The sequence below is a fragment of the Homo sapiens genome, chromosome 22 (genome assembly GCF_000001405.40).
Source record: "Homo sapiens chromosome 22, GRCh38.p14 Primary Assembly".
Lineage (NCBI taxonomy): Eukaryota > Metazoa > Chordata > Mammalia > Primates > Hominidae > Homo > Homo sapiens.
Genome location: NC_000022.11, coordinates 25290266 through 25305245, shown reverse-complemented (window position 1 = coordinate 25305245; position 14980 = coordinate 25290266).

Here is a 14980-nt window from a genome sequence, read left to right as displayed (position 1 = left end):
TCGGTCAGCCCGGGTTCTTATCTAGAGGATCTGAGTAGGAATCTGCCTCCAAACCCATTCCAGTTATGGATGGAATTCTGTGCTTCATGGTTTGGGATGGAGGTGGCTGTTTCCTCGCTGCTGCCAGCCAGGGCCACTCTCAGCTCCTAGTGAGCACCCACACGCCCTCCATCTGCAGAGCTAGCAACAGTGTGGAATCTTTCCTGAGCTTCATATCTTTCTGACTTCCTCCTTGCTGCTGGCCTGAGGAAACGCTCTGCTTTTAAAGAGCACATGTGAGTGGATTAAGCCCACTCAGACAATGATCTTAATTCCACCTGCAGAATCTCTTTTAGCCATGTTACGCATGGGGGCAACACCACGAGGCAAGGGTCATGAGGCTGCACCATGAACACGTGCCTTTCTAATTAAAATATATTTAAAGGCAACTAAATATCCTCCCACTGAGGAATAAAAGTAATCAATGCAGAAGGAATTGTATATTTAGAAAACTCACCATTTTGTAACTCCCTAATAAACCTCATTCTTTGTTTTTAATTGCCACTATTCAGAAGAAAGGGGTTAAGTGCGGCTACTTTTATCCTCATCCTTATATAGAAATTATGTGTCTTAACATTAGTTAAGTTGATCCCTAATAAAATAACCGATTTAGACAATGATTGTCAATGAGAAACTGACACCCACCACATCTGAGCCCACTTTAGAGACCTGACTACAGAGACCCTAAATGGCATGTGCCTCCTGCTATGACGTACACAGCACCACCTATAAAGTGCTCCTACCAAAAAGCAGCTGAAGCTAAACCTCATTAAGCTGTTAGAGCAAAGTCTCGGTTTACAGGAAATGTAGGAAACAGAAGTACAATTTAAGTGATACCATTAAAGGCCAGGCATGGTGGCTCACGCTTGTAATCCTAGCACTTTGGGAGGCTGAGGTGAGCAGATCCCTTGAGGCCAGGAGTTCCGGACCAGCCTGGCCAACATAGTGAAACCATGTCTCTACTGGAAAAAAAAAAAAAATTAGCTGAGTGTGGTGGTGCACACCTGTAATCCCAGCCACTCAGGAGGCTGAGGCACAACAACTGCTTGAACCTGGGAGGCGGAAGTTGCAGTGAGCAGAGATTGTGCCACTGCACTCCAGCCTGAGTGACAGAGCAAGACTCTGTCACAAAAAAAAATAAATAAAAATTTAAAAAAATTTTTAAATGATACCATTAAGAAGCAGATAGAAAAGCCCAGAACTTGGAACATTCTACAACACACAGGACCCAGTTTCTTCAGTAAGTTAATTACCTGTGCATGTGCTGGCGGGGGCAATGTGGGGGAACTGGTCTAGATTACAAGAAATATTATCACCAATTACAATACAAGAACAGTATTTGAATACTGATTCAAACCAAGAGTAAAAAAAAAAACATTTTTAAGTTAATCAGAGAAATTTGACAATAAACTCGGTATTAGAGTACACTAAGAATCATGATAAATTTCACGTTTGGGATAAAGGTACTGCGGCTGTATAAGAAAGCATGCATACTTTTTAGAGATGCATATAGCACAAAACGCTGTGACTGCTTTGTTAATTACTTCAGCAACCACAAGAAAAGGCGGGATGGGAAAACATAGTATAGCAAAATGGTGAAATATATCAAATATAGGTGATGTAACTATACACACACACACACACACACACACATATACATACATGTGGGGTTAATTATTCTAGTCTACTTTTCTGTATGTTGAAAATTTTTAACATAAACAATTTGCTTCTATTCACTGAGCATCTGCTGAGAGCCAATTGTCGTGTTAAGGGCTTCATGTACACCACCAGCTAAACCCTCTCAACAGCCTCATGGACCTGAACTATTATTATCCCTACTTTTATAGATAAAAAGTAATGAAATAACAACCACTTCAGTGTGTAGCCAAACAATCTGCCAGTTCGGCAACGCCTCAGAGGCCAAGTAAATTAAAGACTTCTATGGTTTTATTTTGAAAACATTTTTACCAATTGCCCACAGCACACATTGGAGGGCAGTTCCCAAGCCCTATGGTGATCCTGTGTGTCGGGGACCTTGGGAGGTAAGGAAAGAGGGAAAAGGAACAGATGGGTAGGCAGACAGAGGGTGAAACAGAACAAGAGGACCAGCAAAACAATGAGGGGAGAGGGAAGGAAAGATGGAGAAGGGAAAGAGTAGGGCAGGAACGCATGGAGTCAGTGATGGAAGGCGCAAACGGAACCTGGAAAAGGAAGACCTGGAGTGTCAGACACATTTACTCCCACCATGGCCCACCTTCCACTCTCCCCCAATCCCTGAGACCAGGCAGAAAGTGAGACTACTACAGAGAAAAACGGGGAGCAGGCCAACAACACTAGACAGCTCCGTCAAAACGTAATTGCAGATGGTGGTGTGCGCTCTCCCTAAGCCTCCAATCAGCCGCTCTTCTTTCCTGTGACCATGACCTTCCCAAGCTCAAACTCAGCTTCTCCTGACCAGATCCAAGGTCACGAATTGAAGGGAAGAGAAGAAGAAATTATCTATTTATATTTTTTAGTGGAGACGGGGTTTCACCATGTTAGCCAGGATGGTCTCGATCTCCTGACCTTGTGATCCACCCGCCTTGGCCTCCCGAAGTGCTGGAATTACAGGCGTGAGCCACCGTGCCCGGCCGAAATTATTTATTTAAACAATGTTTAACAGCTTCAGATAAAATGCACAGCCCATCAGCGCCCAGTGAGGCTGCTCTCAGAGAACAATCCGTGCAACTGAGATACTCAGCCACACTAATGCCATTGGGAGCTCAGGTCAGAGTCTCCCGGTGCCAGGGTCAGTTAAGGTTTTAATCCAGGCTATGGAAAATACATGTTTGGGGGGCTGTATGTATGTTTGCGGGGACTGTAGACAGGAAAGGAGCTACAGAAGGGAGAGAGAACAGAAAACACAAAAGAAGAATCCTGGATGCATTTCAGAAACTGGAATGAGAGCTGAAGGGAAAGCAGGCTGAAGTTCTGATCCATGCAACCACCAGAACGAACCTTGAAGGCCTTATGCTGAAGAAGCCCAGTGCAAAAGGCCACACAGTGTGTGATTCCCTTCATGTGGCGTGTCCAACACAAGCAAATCCATGGAGGCAGAAACTCAATTCGTGGTTGCCGGGAGCTGAGGGAGGGTAGAAGGCAGAAGGACTGCTAATGGGTACAAGTTCTTTTTGGGGTGATAAAAACATTCTAAAATTAGGCAGTGCAGATGGTTGTATGACAGTGAATACACAAAAAGTCACTCAACTGTTTACTTTCAATGTGTGGATTGTATGCTATGTGAAATATACCTCAATAAATCCACAAAAAATAAATTTAAAAAATTTTAACTAGCAAATAAAAAGATAAATAATTCCTTTTTCCCTCCGCTCCCAGAGATATAGTTTCTCTCTCTTGTTATCATGAGTTTTATTTTGTTTTTTAGCACAAAATCAGAAGCAAAGGAGAACACCTATGTAGCTTACAGTAACCACACACCATGAAAATAATGAGAAGCCGTGAGAACTAACAAAATGAAAGCCAAACTCTTTTAACTTATCTGTTCCCTAACCAACTCCTGAGGAGCAGGATGAAATATCTCTATATGGCAAAGACCAATCGCTTTCCACACAGTGCTCAGGCACAGACAGACCAACGTCATCTGCTTCTCCAAACCACTCCGTCCACCTTTTCCCCACTGTACTTCATGCGTGATCAAAGAAACTGTATCTACCAAAGACCCTCTTCACAGACAGGCTGATTTTTGTAAATCAGATAAAGTGGTTTACAAAAATCCAAAGATTTCTGCACCAGCTTCTACTGGTAACTATTTTATTATTTACTGGTTAATATTTTATTATCGGAGTTAAGAAGAAGGAGAACTGGGAATCAGAACAAGTCACTCCACCTCCCTGTGTCTACATCTCCTCATCAGCAAACAAAAGGGCAAGCCCAGAATTATCTCGAAGAATACGCAGTCTTAAAGGGATCTATCAGTCTATGTCTATTAATCATGGAAACAGAGCACAAATTGAGTTCTAGGGGACTTTAATTTCTTGGAATTTTCATAAAGTAATTTCCTCCAGCCATAAAATAGTTTTAAAACTATCACACACAGCTCCCCAGCAAACCACCTCAGTAACTGCATGAGGCAGACAAGGCACAAAGAAAGGAATATCCTATTTTCTTACATTCAGCCACGCTGATTTCATGTAAAAATCCTAGAATTACCCATTTCCCGAGAGCTTAATCATAGAATATGTTACTAGGAATATAAGTAATCATTAAATACCTTATTAATTACCTGAAATTTCCTTTATTCCCAGCTGTGGCTATAGAGGACACAAAGCACTGGGGGGTGCATTCATATATTACTATAGAATTGCTCAATTTCATCACTAAAAGTATCATATGCCAAATGAACAAGCAGGACTTACCAATTTTCTGACTGAAAATCTTGTCAAAGTTTATTTCATTGGTCTCTGCAAGATATTTCTGCATCACACTCCGGATACTGGAAGGGAAAAGTGACACATTTTTAACAATACAGCCTACATCGTGAGTAAGCATCCTCAAGATGAAAGAGATACGGATGTCTTGACTTCATGATATCAGCTTTACAAGAGACCCTTCTTACCAAGACTGCATGAAATGCAAACCAGCCTAAAGGCTGGAAACTTCACGGCCTTAGCCACCATCCCCTCCTGCGACACAGGGCCAAGCTTACATGTAGAAACTCAACTGCAGAAAATAACTTCAGGGCTTTGAAAACCCACCCTCCATATATCTCTTCTCCAAAATATTCACAAATGTGTCTGCACACACAAACACGTGCACACAGCACACACCCTACACACACACACCACACATGCCTGTGCCCCCCCACCACAAATTCTGCTATTCAATAAATGAGCTTCTTTCTAAAACAAGAGCAAAAGTTCCCTGGATATATTAATATTTTAAAAATCATGTTTCTATACTCCAACATAAAACACAGAACATAATTAAAAGACTTAGCTTGCAATAAAATAAAAAACATCAAATACTTTGAAATTATTCTTTCAAAATATGTGCAAGAACTTTATGGGAAAAATTACAAATTGTATTGGGAGACATTAAAGAGGATCTAAATAGGAAGATATACCACAGTGATAAACAGAGAAATTTAATACTGTAAAGTTCAAAGTCTACCCAAATTTATCTATGAAATATAATCTCCATCAACATTCCAATAGGGTTTTTCATAGAACATAGAAATAAATAAGCTCTTTCTAAAATTTACACAAAAAATGCAGGATCAATAATAGCCAAAACACTTCTGAAGAAAGAGAATAAAGATACTGGTGTTTATTATGAAGTTAATAAAGACAGGATAAACAAACTAATCAAGGAAATGGAAGACAGTGCAGAAACTGAACCACACATACATTCAGCGTTGACATATAATAGAAGTAGCAAGTCAGAGAAATGGGGAAAGGATGGATTATTCAGTAACTGAACCCCAAAAGTGATTTTTTTTTTATTTTTAAAAACAAATTGAGGCATAATTTATACATAATTAAATGCATACTTAAAGTATATTGTTAACCAGGCAAGGTGCCTCACACCTGTAATCCCAGCACTTTGGGAGGCCAAGGTGAGGGGATCACCTGAGGTCAGGAGTTCGAACTCTATTCATAGATAGAGATATTCAGTTGAGTCCAAACTCTATTCATACATCACACTACTTCTTTTTGAAGAACGGCAATCTTTCTTTAGTAAATTAAAAGACCTCATTTACTTTATTCATCTAACATTTCATGTATGATGATCAGTTTTTCACCTACCATGACTCTCATTTTTCCCCATGAATACTCTTGAAGAAGTGTTCCAGAAGCATTCTAAAACAGTCTTCAAATTTAGCAATTTACTACCTATTCCATTGAGTTTCCAGTTTTCCATACAATTCCTACGATGATATGATTTTTACTCTTCCCTTCCTGTAGAAGGTGGTTGGATTCTTATATACCTTCATGTAATCATCTTCCTTGAAGTATAACATTTTATACATATATATATGCATATACATGTATATGTATATATATACATACACACACCCATATATACATACATACATACATACATACATACATACATACATACATACAAAGGGGGTCTTGCTCTGTCATCCAGGCTGGAGTGCAGTGGTGTGATCATAGCTCACTGCGGCCTCAAACTCCTGAGCTCAAGCTATCCTCCCACCTCAGCCTCCCGAGTAGCAGAAACTACAAGTGCACACCACCACACCGTTTTTTTTTTTTTCTTTTTGGAGATAGAGTCTCACTATGTTGCCCAGTCTGGTCTTAAATTCTTGGCCTCAAGAGATCCTTCCACCTCAGCCTCCCAAGTAGCTGGAATTATTGGTGCAAGCCATCATGCCCAACAATTTTTTATTTATTTAAAAAGTCTAATTTCCTCTCTAACCATGACAAATCTAGTCTGTGCTTATATTTTTATTTTTTCCTACAATTCTTGACTATCCCCTTATGTTCTATTTCACTGTACTATTTTCTTCACTGTACTATTCAGTTCCTATTTGTATTTTTAATATCTTGCATGTTTTTATTTTTAGCTCAAAGAATGTGGCTGGTTGTCTAATGCTACATACCAAAAGTAATTTGATGTATTCCTAAGTATTTTGTGTGTGTGCAGCTACTGTAAATGGGACTGCATTTTAATTTGGCTCTCAGCTTGAACGTTATTGGTATATAGAAATGCCACTGATTTCTGTACATTGATTTTGTATCCTGAAACTTATTGAAGTCATTTAGCAATTCCAGGAGTCTTTGGCAGGGTATTTAGGGTTTTCTCAGTATAGAATCATATCATCAGCAAAGAGAGACAGTTTGACCCCTTCTTTTCCTATTTAGATGCCTTTTATCTCTTTCTCTTGCTGATTGCTCCAGTAGTATGTTGAATAACAGTGGTGAGAGTGAGAATCCTTGTCTGTTCCAGTTCTCAAGGAGAATGCCTCCACCTTTTGCTCATTCAGTATGATAGTGTCTTTATGTCTGTCATAGATAGCTGTTATCATTTTGAGGTATGTCCCTTCAATGCCTAGTTTGTTCAGGGTTTTTTTTAACGTGAAGGGTACTGGATTTTATTGAGAGGTTTTTCCACATCTATTGAGATGATCGTATGGTTTTGTTTTTATTTTTTTATGTGGTAAATCACATTTATTGGTTTGCATATGTTGAACCAACCTTGCATCCCAGGAATGAAGCCTACCTGATCATGGAGAATTAACCTTTCTTTTTCATGTGCTGCTGGATTTGGTTTGCTAGTATTTTGTTGAGAATTTTTGCCTCTGTGTTCATCAGGGATGTTGGCCTGTAGTTTTCTTTTTTCACTATGTCTTTGCCAGGTTTTGGTATCAGGGTAATGCTGGCTTTGCAGAATGAGTTAGGGAGGAGTCCCTCCTCCTTGACTTTTTTCTACCAGTAGAACTACAAAACACTGATGACAAAAATCATAGATGATACAAATGGAAGAATATTCCATGCTCATAGATTAGAAGAATCAATATTGTAAAAATGGCCATGCTGCCCAAAACAATCTACAGATTCAATGCTATTGCTATCAAACTACTAATGTCATTTTTCACAGGATGGGTAAAAACTATTCTAAAATTAATATGGAACAAAAAAAGAGCCCAAATAGCCAAAGTCATCCTAAGCAAAAAGAACAAAGCTAGAGGTGATCGTATTACCCAGCTTCAAACTATACTATAAAGCTACAATAACCAAAACAGCATAGTGCTGGTACAGAAACAGACACATAGACCAGTGGAATAGAAGAGAGAACCCAAAAATAAAGCCACATGCAGCTTCAGCTATCTGATCTTTGACAAAGTCAACAAAAATAAGCAATGGGGAAAGGACTCCCTGTTCAACAAATGGTGCTGGGATAGCTGGCTAGCCATATGCAGAAGATTGAAACTGGATCCCTAACTTTTACCATATACAAAAAAGTCCTCAAAAAATGCAAAAATAGCCCTCAAAAGCAACTGCAACAAAAACAAAAATTGACAAGTGGGACCCAATTGAACTAAGTGCTTTTGCACAGCAAAAGAAACTACCAACAGAGTAAACAGACATGCTACAAAATGGGAGAAAATATTCACAAACTATGCATCTGGCAAAGGTCTAATATCCAGATTCTATAAGGAACTTAACAAAAAACAAATAATTCCATTAAAAATGGGCAAAAGACATGAACAGACAATTCTCAAAAGAAGACCTACAACTGACCAACAAACATTTGAAAAAATGCTCAACATCACTAATCATCAGATAAATATAAATCAAAACCACAATGAGATACCATCTCACTCCAGGCAAATGGCTATTATTTTAAAAATAAAATAAAATAAAACAGATGCTGATAAGGCTTTGGAGAAAAGGGAACGCCTACACACTGCTGGTGGAAATGTAAATTAGTTCAGCCACTGTGAAAAGCTGTTTGGAGATTTCCCAAAGAACTTAACAAAGAACTACCATTCAACGCAGCAATCCTATTACTGAATATACTTATTTTCTTTCCAAAAGAAAATTAATCATTCTACCAAAAGAAAAAAAAAACTACATCCACTCTTATGCTCATCACAGCACTATTCATAATAACGAAAACAAGGAAGAAACATAGGGGCCCATCAATGGTGGATTGGATAAAGAAAATAAGGTACATATACACCATGGAATACTATATTGCCATAAAAAAGAATGAAATCGTGTCCTTTGCAGCAACATGAATGCAGCTGGAGGTGATTATCCTGAGCAAATTAACACAGGAAAAGAAAACCAAATGCCACATGTTCTTATTTATAAGTGGGAGCTAAACACTGGGTACTCATGGACATAAAGATGGTAACAATAGACACCAGGAATGAATGGGGGGAGGGAGGGAAGGGAGCAAGGGTTGAAACACTATTGGGCACTATGCTCACTACCTACGCAATGGCATCAATCATACGCCAAACCTCATCATCACACAATACACCCACATAACAAACCTGCACATGTACCCCTTAAATCTAAAATTAAAGCTGCAATTATTGTTTCTAAAAAGTAATTCAAGATGGACCACAGATCTAAATATAAAGCCTAAAACTATAAAAGTTCTCAAAGAAAATATAAAAAAACTTTATAACTAGTTCAAGCAAAGACTTTAGACATGAGAGCAAAAACATGAATAAGAGAAAAACAGATAAATTAAATTTCATCAAAATTAAAAACTGCTGCTCCTGAGAAGACACTTAAGAGGATGAAAAGACAAGCCACATGCCGAGAGAAAACACTGGCAAACCATCTGTCTAACTGAAGATCTGTACCCAGCATAAATAAAGACCCTTTCAAGCTCAAGAATAAGAAAATAACCTGATAAAAATTGGGCAAATGATTTGAACAGACACTTCAAAGAAGATATGTGGGTGGCAAATAAGCATATGAAAAGTTGTTTAACGTCATTAGTCATTAGGAAATGGCAAATTAAAATCACAAGAAGATTCCACTACATACCTATTAGAGTGGCTATAATTACCAAAGACCATACTAAATGTTGGGAAGGATATGGAGTAACTGGAATTCTCACACACTGCTAGTGGGAATGTCAAATGAAGCACACACTTTGGAAAACATTTTGGCAGCTTCTTAGAAAGCAAAGTTAAACTACACCTACTATATGATAAATCCATTCCATTTTTAGGTATTTACCTGAGAGAAATGAAACCATATATCCATACAAATATTTATACATGGATATTCTCAGCAGCTTTATCTGTGATGGTCAAAAGCTGGAAGAAACACAATAGCCACAATGGGTGAACGGATAAGTAAATATGGGTATCACTATAATTAAACAGTACTCAGCAATAAAAGGAATGAACTATGAATACATTTAAAAACACAGATGGATCTCAGAATAACTGTGCTGATTTAAAGAAGCCAGACCCCCACCCCCCGCCACAACAACAAAAAAAAGTACACAACGTTTGATTACAAGGAGGCAGGAGCAAACTTTTTTTTTTTTTCTTTTTTTTTTTTTTGAGACGGAGTCTCGGTCTGTCTTGTCTCCCAGGCTGGAGTGCAGTGGTGCAATCTCGGCTCACTGCAAGTTCCACCTCCTGGGTTCATGCCATTCTCCTGCCTCAGCCTCCCAGGTAGCTGGGACTACAGGCGCCCGCCACCATACCCGGCTAATTTTTTTGTATTTTTAGTAGAGACGGGGTTTCACCCCATTAGCCAGGATGGTCTTGATCTCCTGACCTCGTGATCCGCCTGCCTCTGCCTCCCAAAGTGCTGGGATTACCGGCTTGAGCCACCACGCCCGGCCAGGAGCAAATTTTTAAGGATGGTGCATGTGGTATAACAAAAAATATAGTTTTTGTCTCTGGTTCCTGACACAGAGCTCCAAAAACGCTTGAAATTTCCTGATAGGAGTGTCTTTTATTCCTAAGGAGCCCTTTTCAACCATACGTGAGTATATGCTAATGAGCTGACTCTTGGTGGGCTTCTAGATAGCTCAATACGGGGGCTTGTTGCCAGAGGAAGCAAAAGTGTGACTAGAGGGTTAAGACTTTCACCCTTATCCCCTGACCTCAGGGAGGCTGGGGATTGAGTTCTGTCACCAACACCCAAAGCTTTCTGCAATCAAGCCTAACTTAAAAACTCTTGAAGAGTTTGGAGAGCTTTCAGGTGAACACATCATGAGATGGGAAGGTGGCGCACTCAGAGAGGGCACAGAAGCTCTGCTCTCTACCCCTCCCTGCAAGACCCTGCACCATGTACCTCCTCCATTTTGCGATTCCTGAGTTGCATCTTTCATAAAAAAACTAATCATAAGGATAGCATTTTCCTGAGTTCTGTGAGTCATTCTAGTGACACAGCACACCGGAGAGGATGGTCATGGGAGCCCGTGAATTTGTGGTCAGCCAGGCAGAAGTATGGGAGACTGGGAACCCCATTCCTAGCTGGCATCTGAATTGGGGCAGTCTTGTGGGAATGAGCCCTTAACCTAGCAGCGGGGAGGGGATCTCTGCTAACTTAAGGTGGTGTCAAAATCAAATTGAATTGTAGAACGCCCAGCTGGTAAGACAATTGAGACGTTCATTATCTGAATTTTGGTAATGGTTTTGCCAATGTAGATAAACTCACCAAACTGTGCACTTGAAATATGTTGTTTATCTTAGGTTAATTACATCTCAGTAAGCTATTTGTTTGTTTGTTTTAATTACACCATTTGCAGTAAGCAAAACCCCGAGTGTAGGAAACTACACAATAAAACGACCTGATATCTTTAACAAAAAATCTCAAGAGAAAATAATGATAGTGGAGGAATGTATAAGGTCAAAAAAGACTCAAAAGAAATAACAACCAGGCATAATGTATGGACCTTATTTAAAAACTCAATTCAAGAAAAAAAGTATTCTTTTAAAAAAATAGAGAAATGAGAATGTGCATTGACTACTGGATAATATTAAGGGAGCATTTTTTTCGCAGTGGCATTGTATTCCACTTTCACTTTTGTATTCTGAAAGAGTTTTTATCTTTCAGGACTGCATATAGAAATACTCACAGATGAAATTATATATATATATATATATATATATATATATATATAATCTCTAGACTTGCTTCAAAATAATCTAAAGAAAATAGGAGGTATAGAGGAAACAAAATTAGCTATGTATTTGATATGGTTTGGCTGTGTCCCCATCCAAATCTCATCTTGAATTGTAGTTCCCATAATTCCCATGTGTTGTGGGAGGGACCCAGTGGGAAGTCATTGAATCATGGAGCCCGATCTTTCCCATGCTGTTTTCATGAAAGTTAATAAGTCTCACGAGATCTGATGGTTTTATAAAGGGGAGTTCCCCTGCACATGCTCTCTTGTCTGCTGCCACGTAAGACATGACTTTGCTCCTCCTTCACCTTCCACCATGATTGTGAGGCCTCCCCAGGTGTGTGGAACTGTGAGTCCATCAAACCTCTTTCCTTTATAAATTATCCAGTCTCAGGTATGTCTTTATTAGCAGCATGAGAACAGACTAATACAGTATTAATAACTGAGAAAGCCGAGTGATGGCTGTATCAGTTTCATACTCCTATTCTCTCCTGTGCATGTTTAAACTTTTCATTATACAAAGTTTTAAAGCATCAAATTCTGGCCTCCAGAGTCCAGGGTTATTACTTTTACACACCTCCTCACCAAAATAAGAGTTATGTATATCATACACTGTATACTGCTTGGAGGCATAATGACTTGTGTTAATACCAAATGGCTGGAAATATACCAACCCTACCTGTCATGGCCTACTGGGGTCCTGCTACATAAATGCATGGTAAGTATAATAAATATTGTATTATAATTTTAATTTTTTTCTCCTATGAGAGTGGTTGAAAGACCAGCCACCAGATATCTGCTCCCTAAAGGCCAAGAATAGGTGGGCTAGGTTGTACATCAACACCTTACTAGTAAAGAAACTACAATCTTTAGGACATAGCTAGATAACCTCATGTTATTAAGAGCCTACATATTCTATCTGAGGTTTTATTCTAATGTCCAAAATAAAATGCATTTAAGCAAATATTTTAATAGGTAACATATTGCCTAGAAAAACTAGTAGCACATAATAAGGTAGTCATAAAGATTGAACAAGTTTGTAAGAGAGTGCTTTCTAAACTATAAGCAGCGAGTGGGCTTGCTGGCTCTATAATCTCAGCTCTTCGGGAGGCTGAGGAAGAAGCATCACTTCAGGCCAGGAGTTCAAGAACTGCCTGGGCAACATAGTGAGAACCCCTCTCTACAAAAACAAATTAAAAAGCTAGCCAAGATGGTGGCATGAACCTGTAGTCTCAGTTACTCAGGAGGCTGAGGTAGGAGAATTACTTGAGCCCAGGGGTTTGAGGCTGCAGTGAGCTATGATCTCACCACTGCACTCCAGCCTGGGCAACAGACCTTGTCTCAAAAAACAAAAAAAAATTTTTTAAATAAACTATAAGCAGCACACAAATGAGAATTGTTACCATTACTGACCATCAAGAAAACCGAAAGATTCTTTTTAATGACCACACAATCATATCAAGATTCTGTTCCTCCAAAATGAAACTACTTTTCTTATATGTAGTTACTAAGTATTTTCCACAAACCACTCAAGCACACAGAATAGAGCTCTGTTATCCAAAGTCACAATAAAAACTTGACCACTAGATTTAAAACCACCAAACTCCACCAGGATTCTGATGTAGTCTGTAAAAGAATCTTAAATAGTTTAATGTCAACTCTTTGAGTTTCCTCAGTTTCTTATGTCTTTTACAGGAAAGTCTCATATAATTTGCGTAGTATTAAACAATTCAGCACAGGACAATCTACGTTCAGGTCACAACCCAATTAAGCTAACTACAAATTTATTTTGTGCTTTTCCTAGAATATTTTAATAATCCACCTTGTGTTTAATGCCTTTTTTTGGCAATATAACTAGATATTAAGGTGACATTAAATATACTTGAATTTCACTGGCCCACAAACACAGTCATCCCCAAACAGACACCAGCTGAAGGATAAATTTATGGGGTCTTCGGTTTACCTAATCAAAGAGACTGAACCTTTATACTCAAAACTATCCCTTTAAATTAGTTACAACAAACAGGGCACGGTGGCTCACACCTGTAATCCCAGTACTTTGAGAGGCCAAGACAGGTTGATTGCTTGAGCTCAGGAGTTTGAGACCAGCCTAGGCAACATGGTGAAACTCCACTGTATTAGTCCATTTTCACACTGCTGGTAAAGACATACCCGAGACTGGGTAATGTATCCAGGAAACAGGGTTTAATTGGACTTATAGTTCCATGTGGCTGGGGAGGCGTCACAATCATGGTGGAAGGCAAAGGGTACGTCTTACATAGCAGCAGGCAAAAGAGAGAATGAGAACCAAGTGAAACGGGTTTCCCCTTATCAAACCATCAGGTCCCTTGAGACTTACTCACTGCCACGAGAACAGTGTGGGAGAAACTGCCCCGTGATTCAATTATTTCCCACCAGGTCCCTCCCACCACAGGTGGGAATTATGGGAGTGCAATTCAAGATGAGATTTGGGTGGGGATACAGCCAAACCACATCACCCATCTCTACCAAAACTATAAAAAAATTACCCAGGCATGGTGGTACGTGTCTGTGGTCCCAGCTACTTGGGAGGCTGAGGTAGGAGGATTGCTTAAGCCTGGGAGGCAGAGATTGCAGTGAGCCAAGATCGCGCCACTGCACTCCAGCCTGGGTGACAGAGCAAGACTCTGCCTCAAAAAATAAAAAATAGAAATAAATTAGTTATAAGAATCATTTCAGAATCCATTTGCCTTTTCACCAAAATCCTTTAAATTAGGAATAATACAGAAAAGACTATGTTCTATGGCTGTGGTATTATTAGAGGACAGAGACTGGGGTCAGGGAGCCTCATGCTGGGGAGTTGCAGCCTCCTTGTTTCCAAGAGTAATTTTTCTAAAATATAAATCGGACCACGTAATCATCTCATTTAAAAGACTGCAAGGGCCTCTGGGCACGGTGGCTCATGCCTGTAATCCTAGCACTTTGGGAGGCCGAGGCTGGGGGATCACCTGAGGTCAGGAGTTCGAGACCAGCCTGGCCGACATGGTGAAACCCCGTCTCTACTAAAAACACAAAAATTAGCTGGGCGTGGTGGCAGACACCTGTAATCCCAGCTACTCAGGAGGCTGAGGCAGGAGAATTGCTTGAACATGGGAGGTGGAGGTTGCAGTGAGCTGAGATCGCGCCACTGCACTCCAGCCTGGGTGACAAAGCGAGCCTCTGTCTCAAAAAAAAAAAAAAAAAAAAAAAAAAAAAAAAAAGATTGCAAGGGCCTCTCACTTTGCCCAACGTCCAAACCCCTTAGTGTACTGCAGGGAGCATTTTC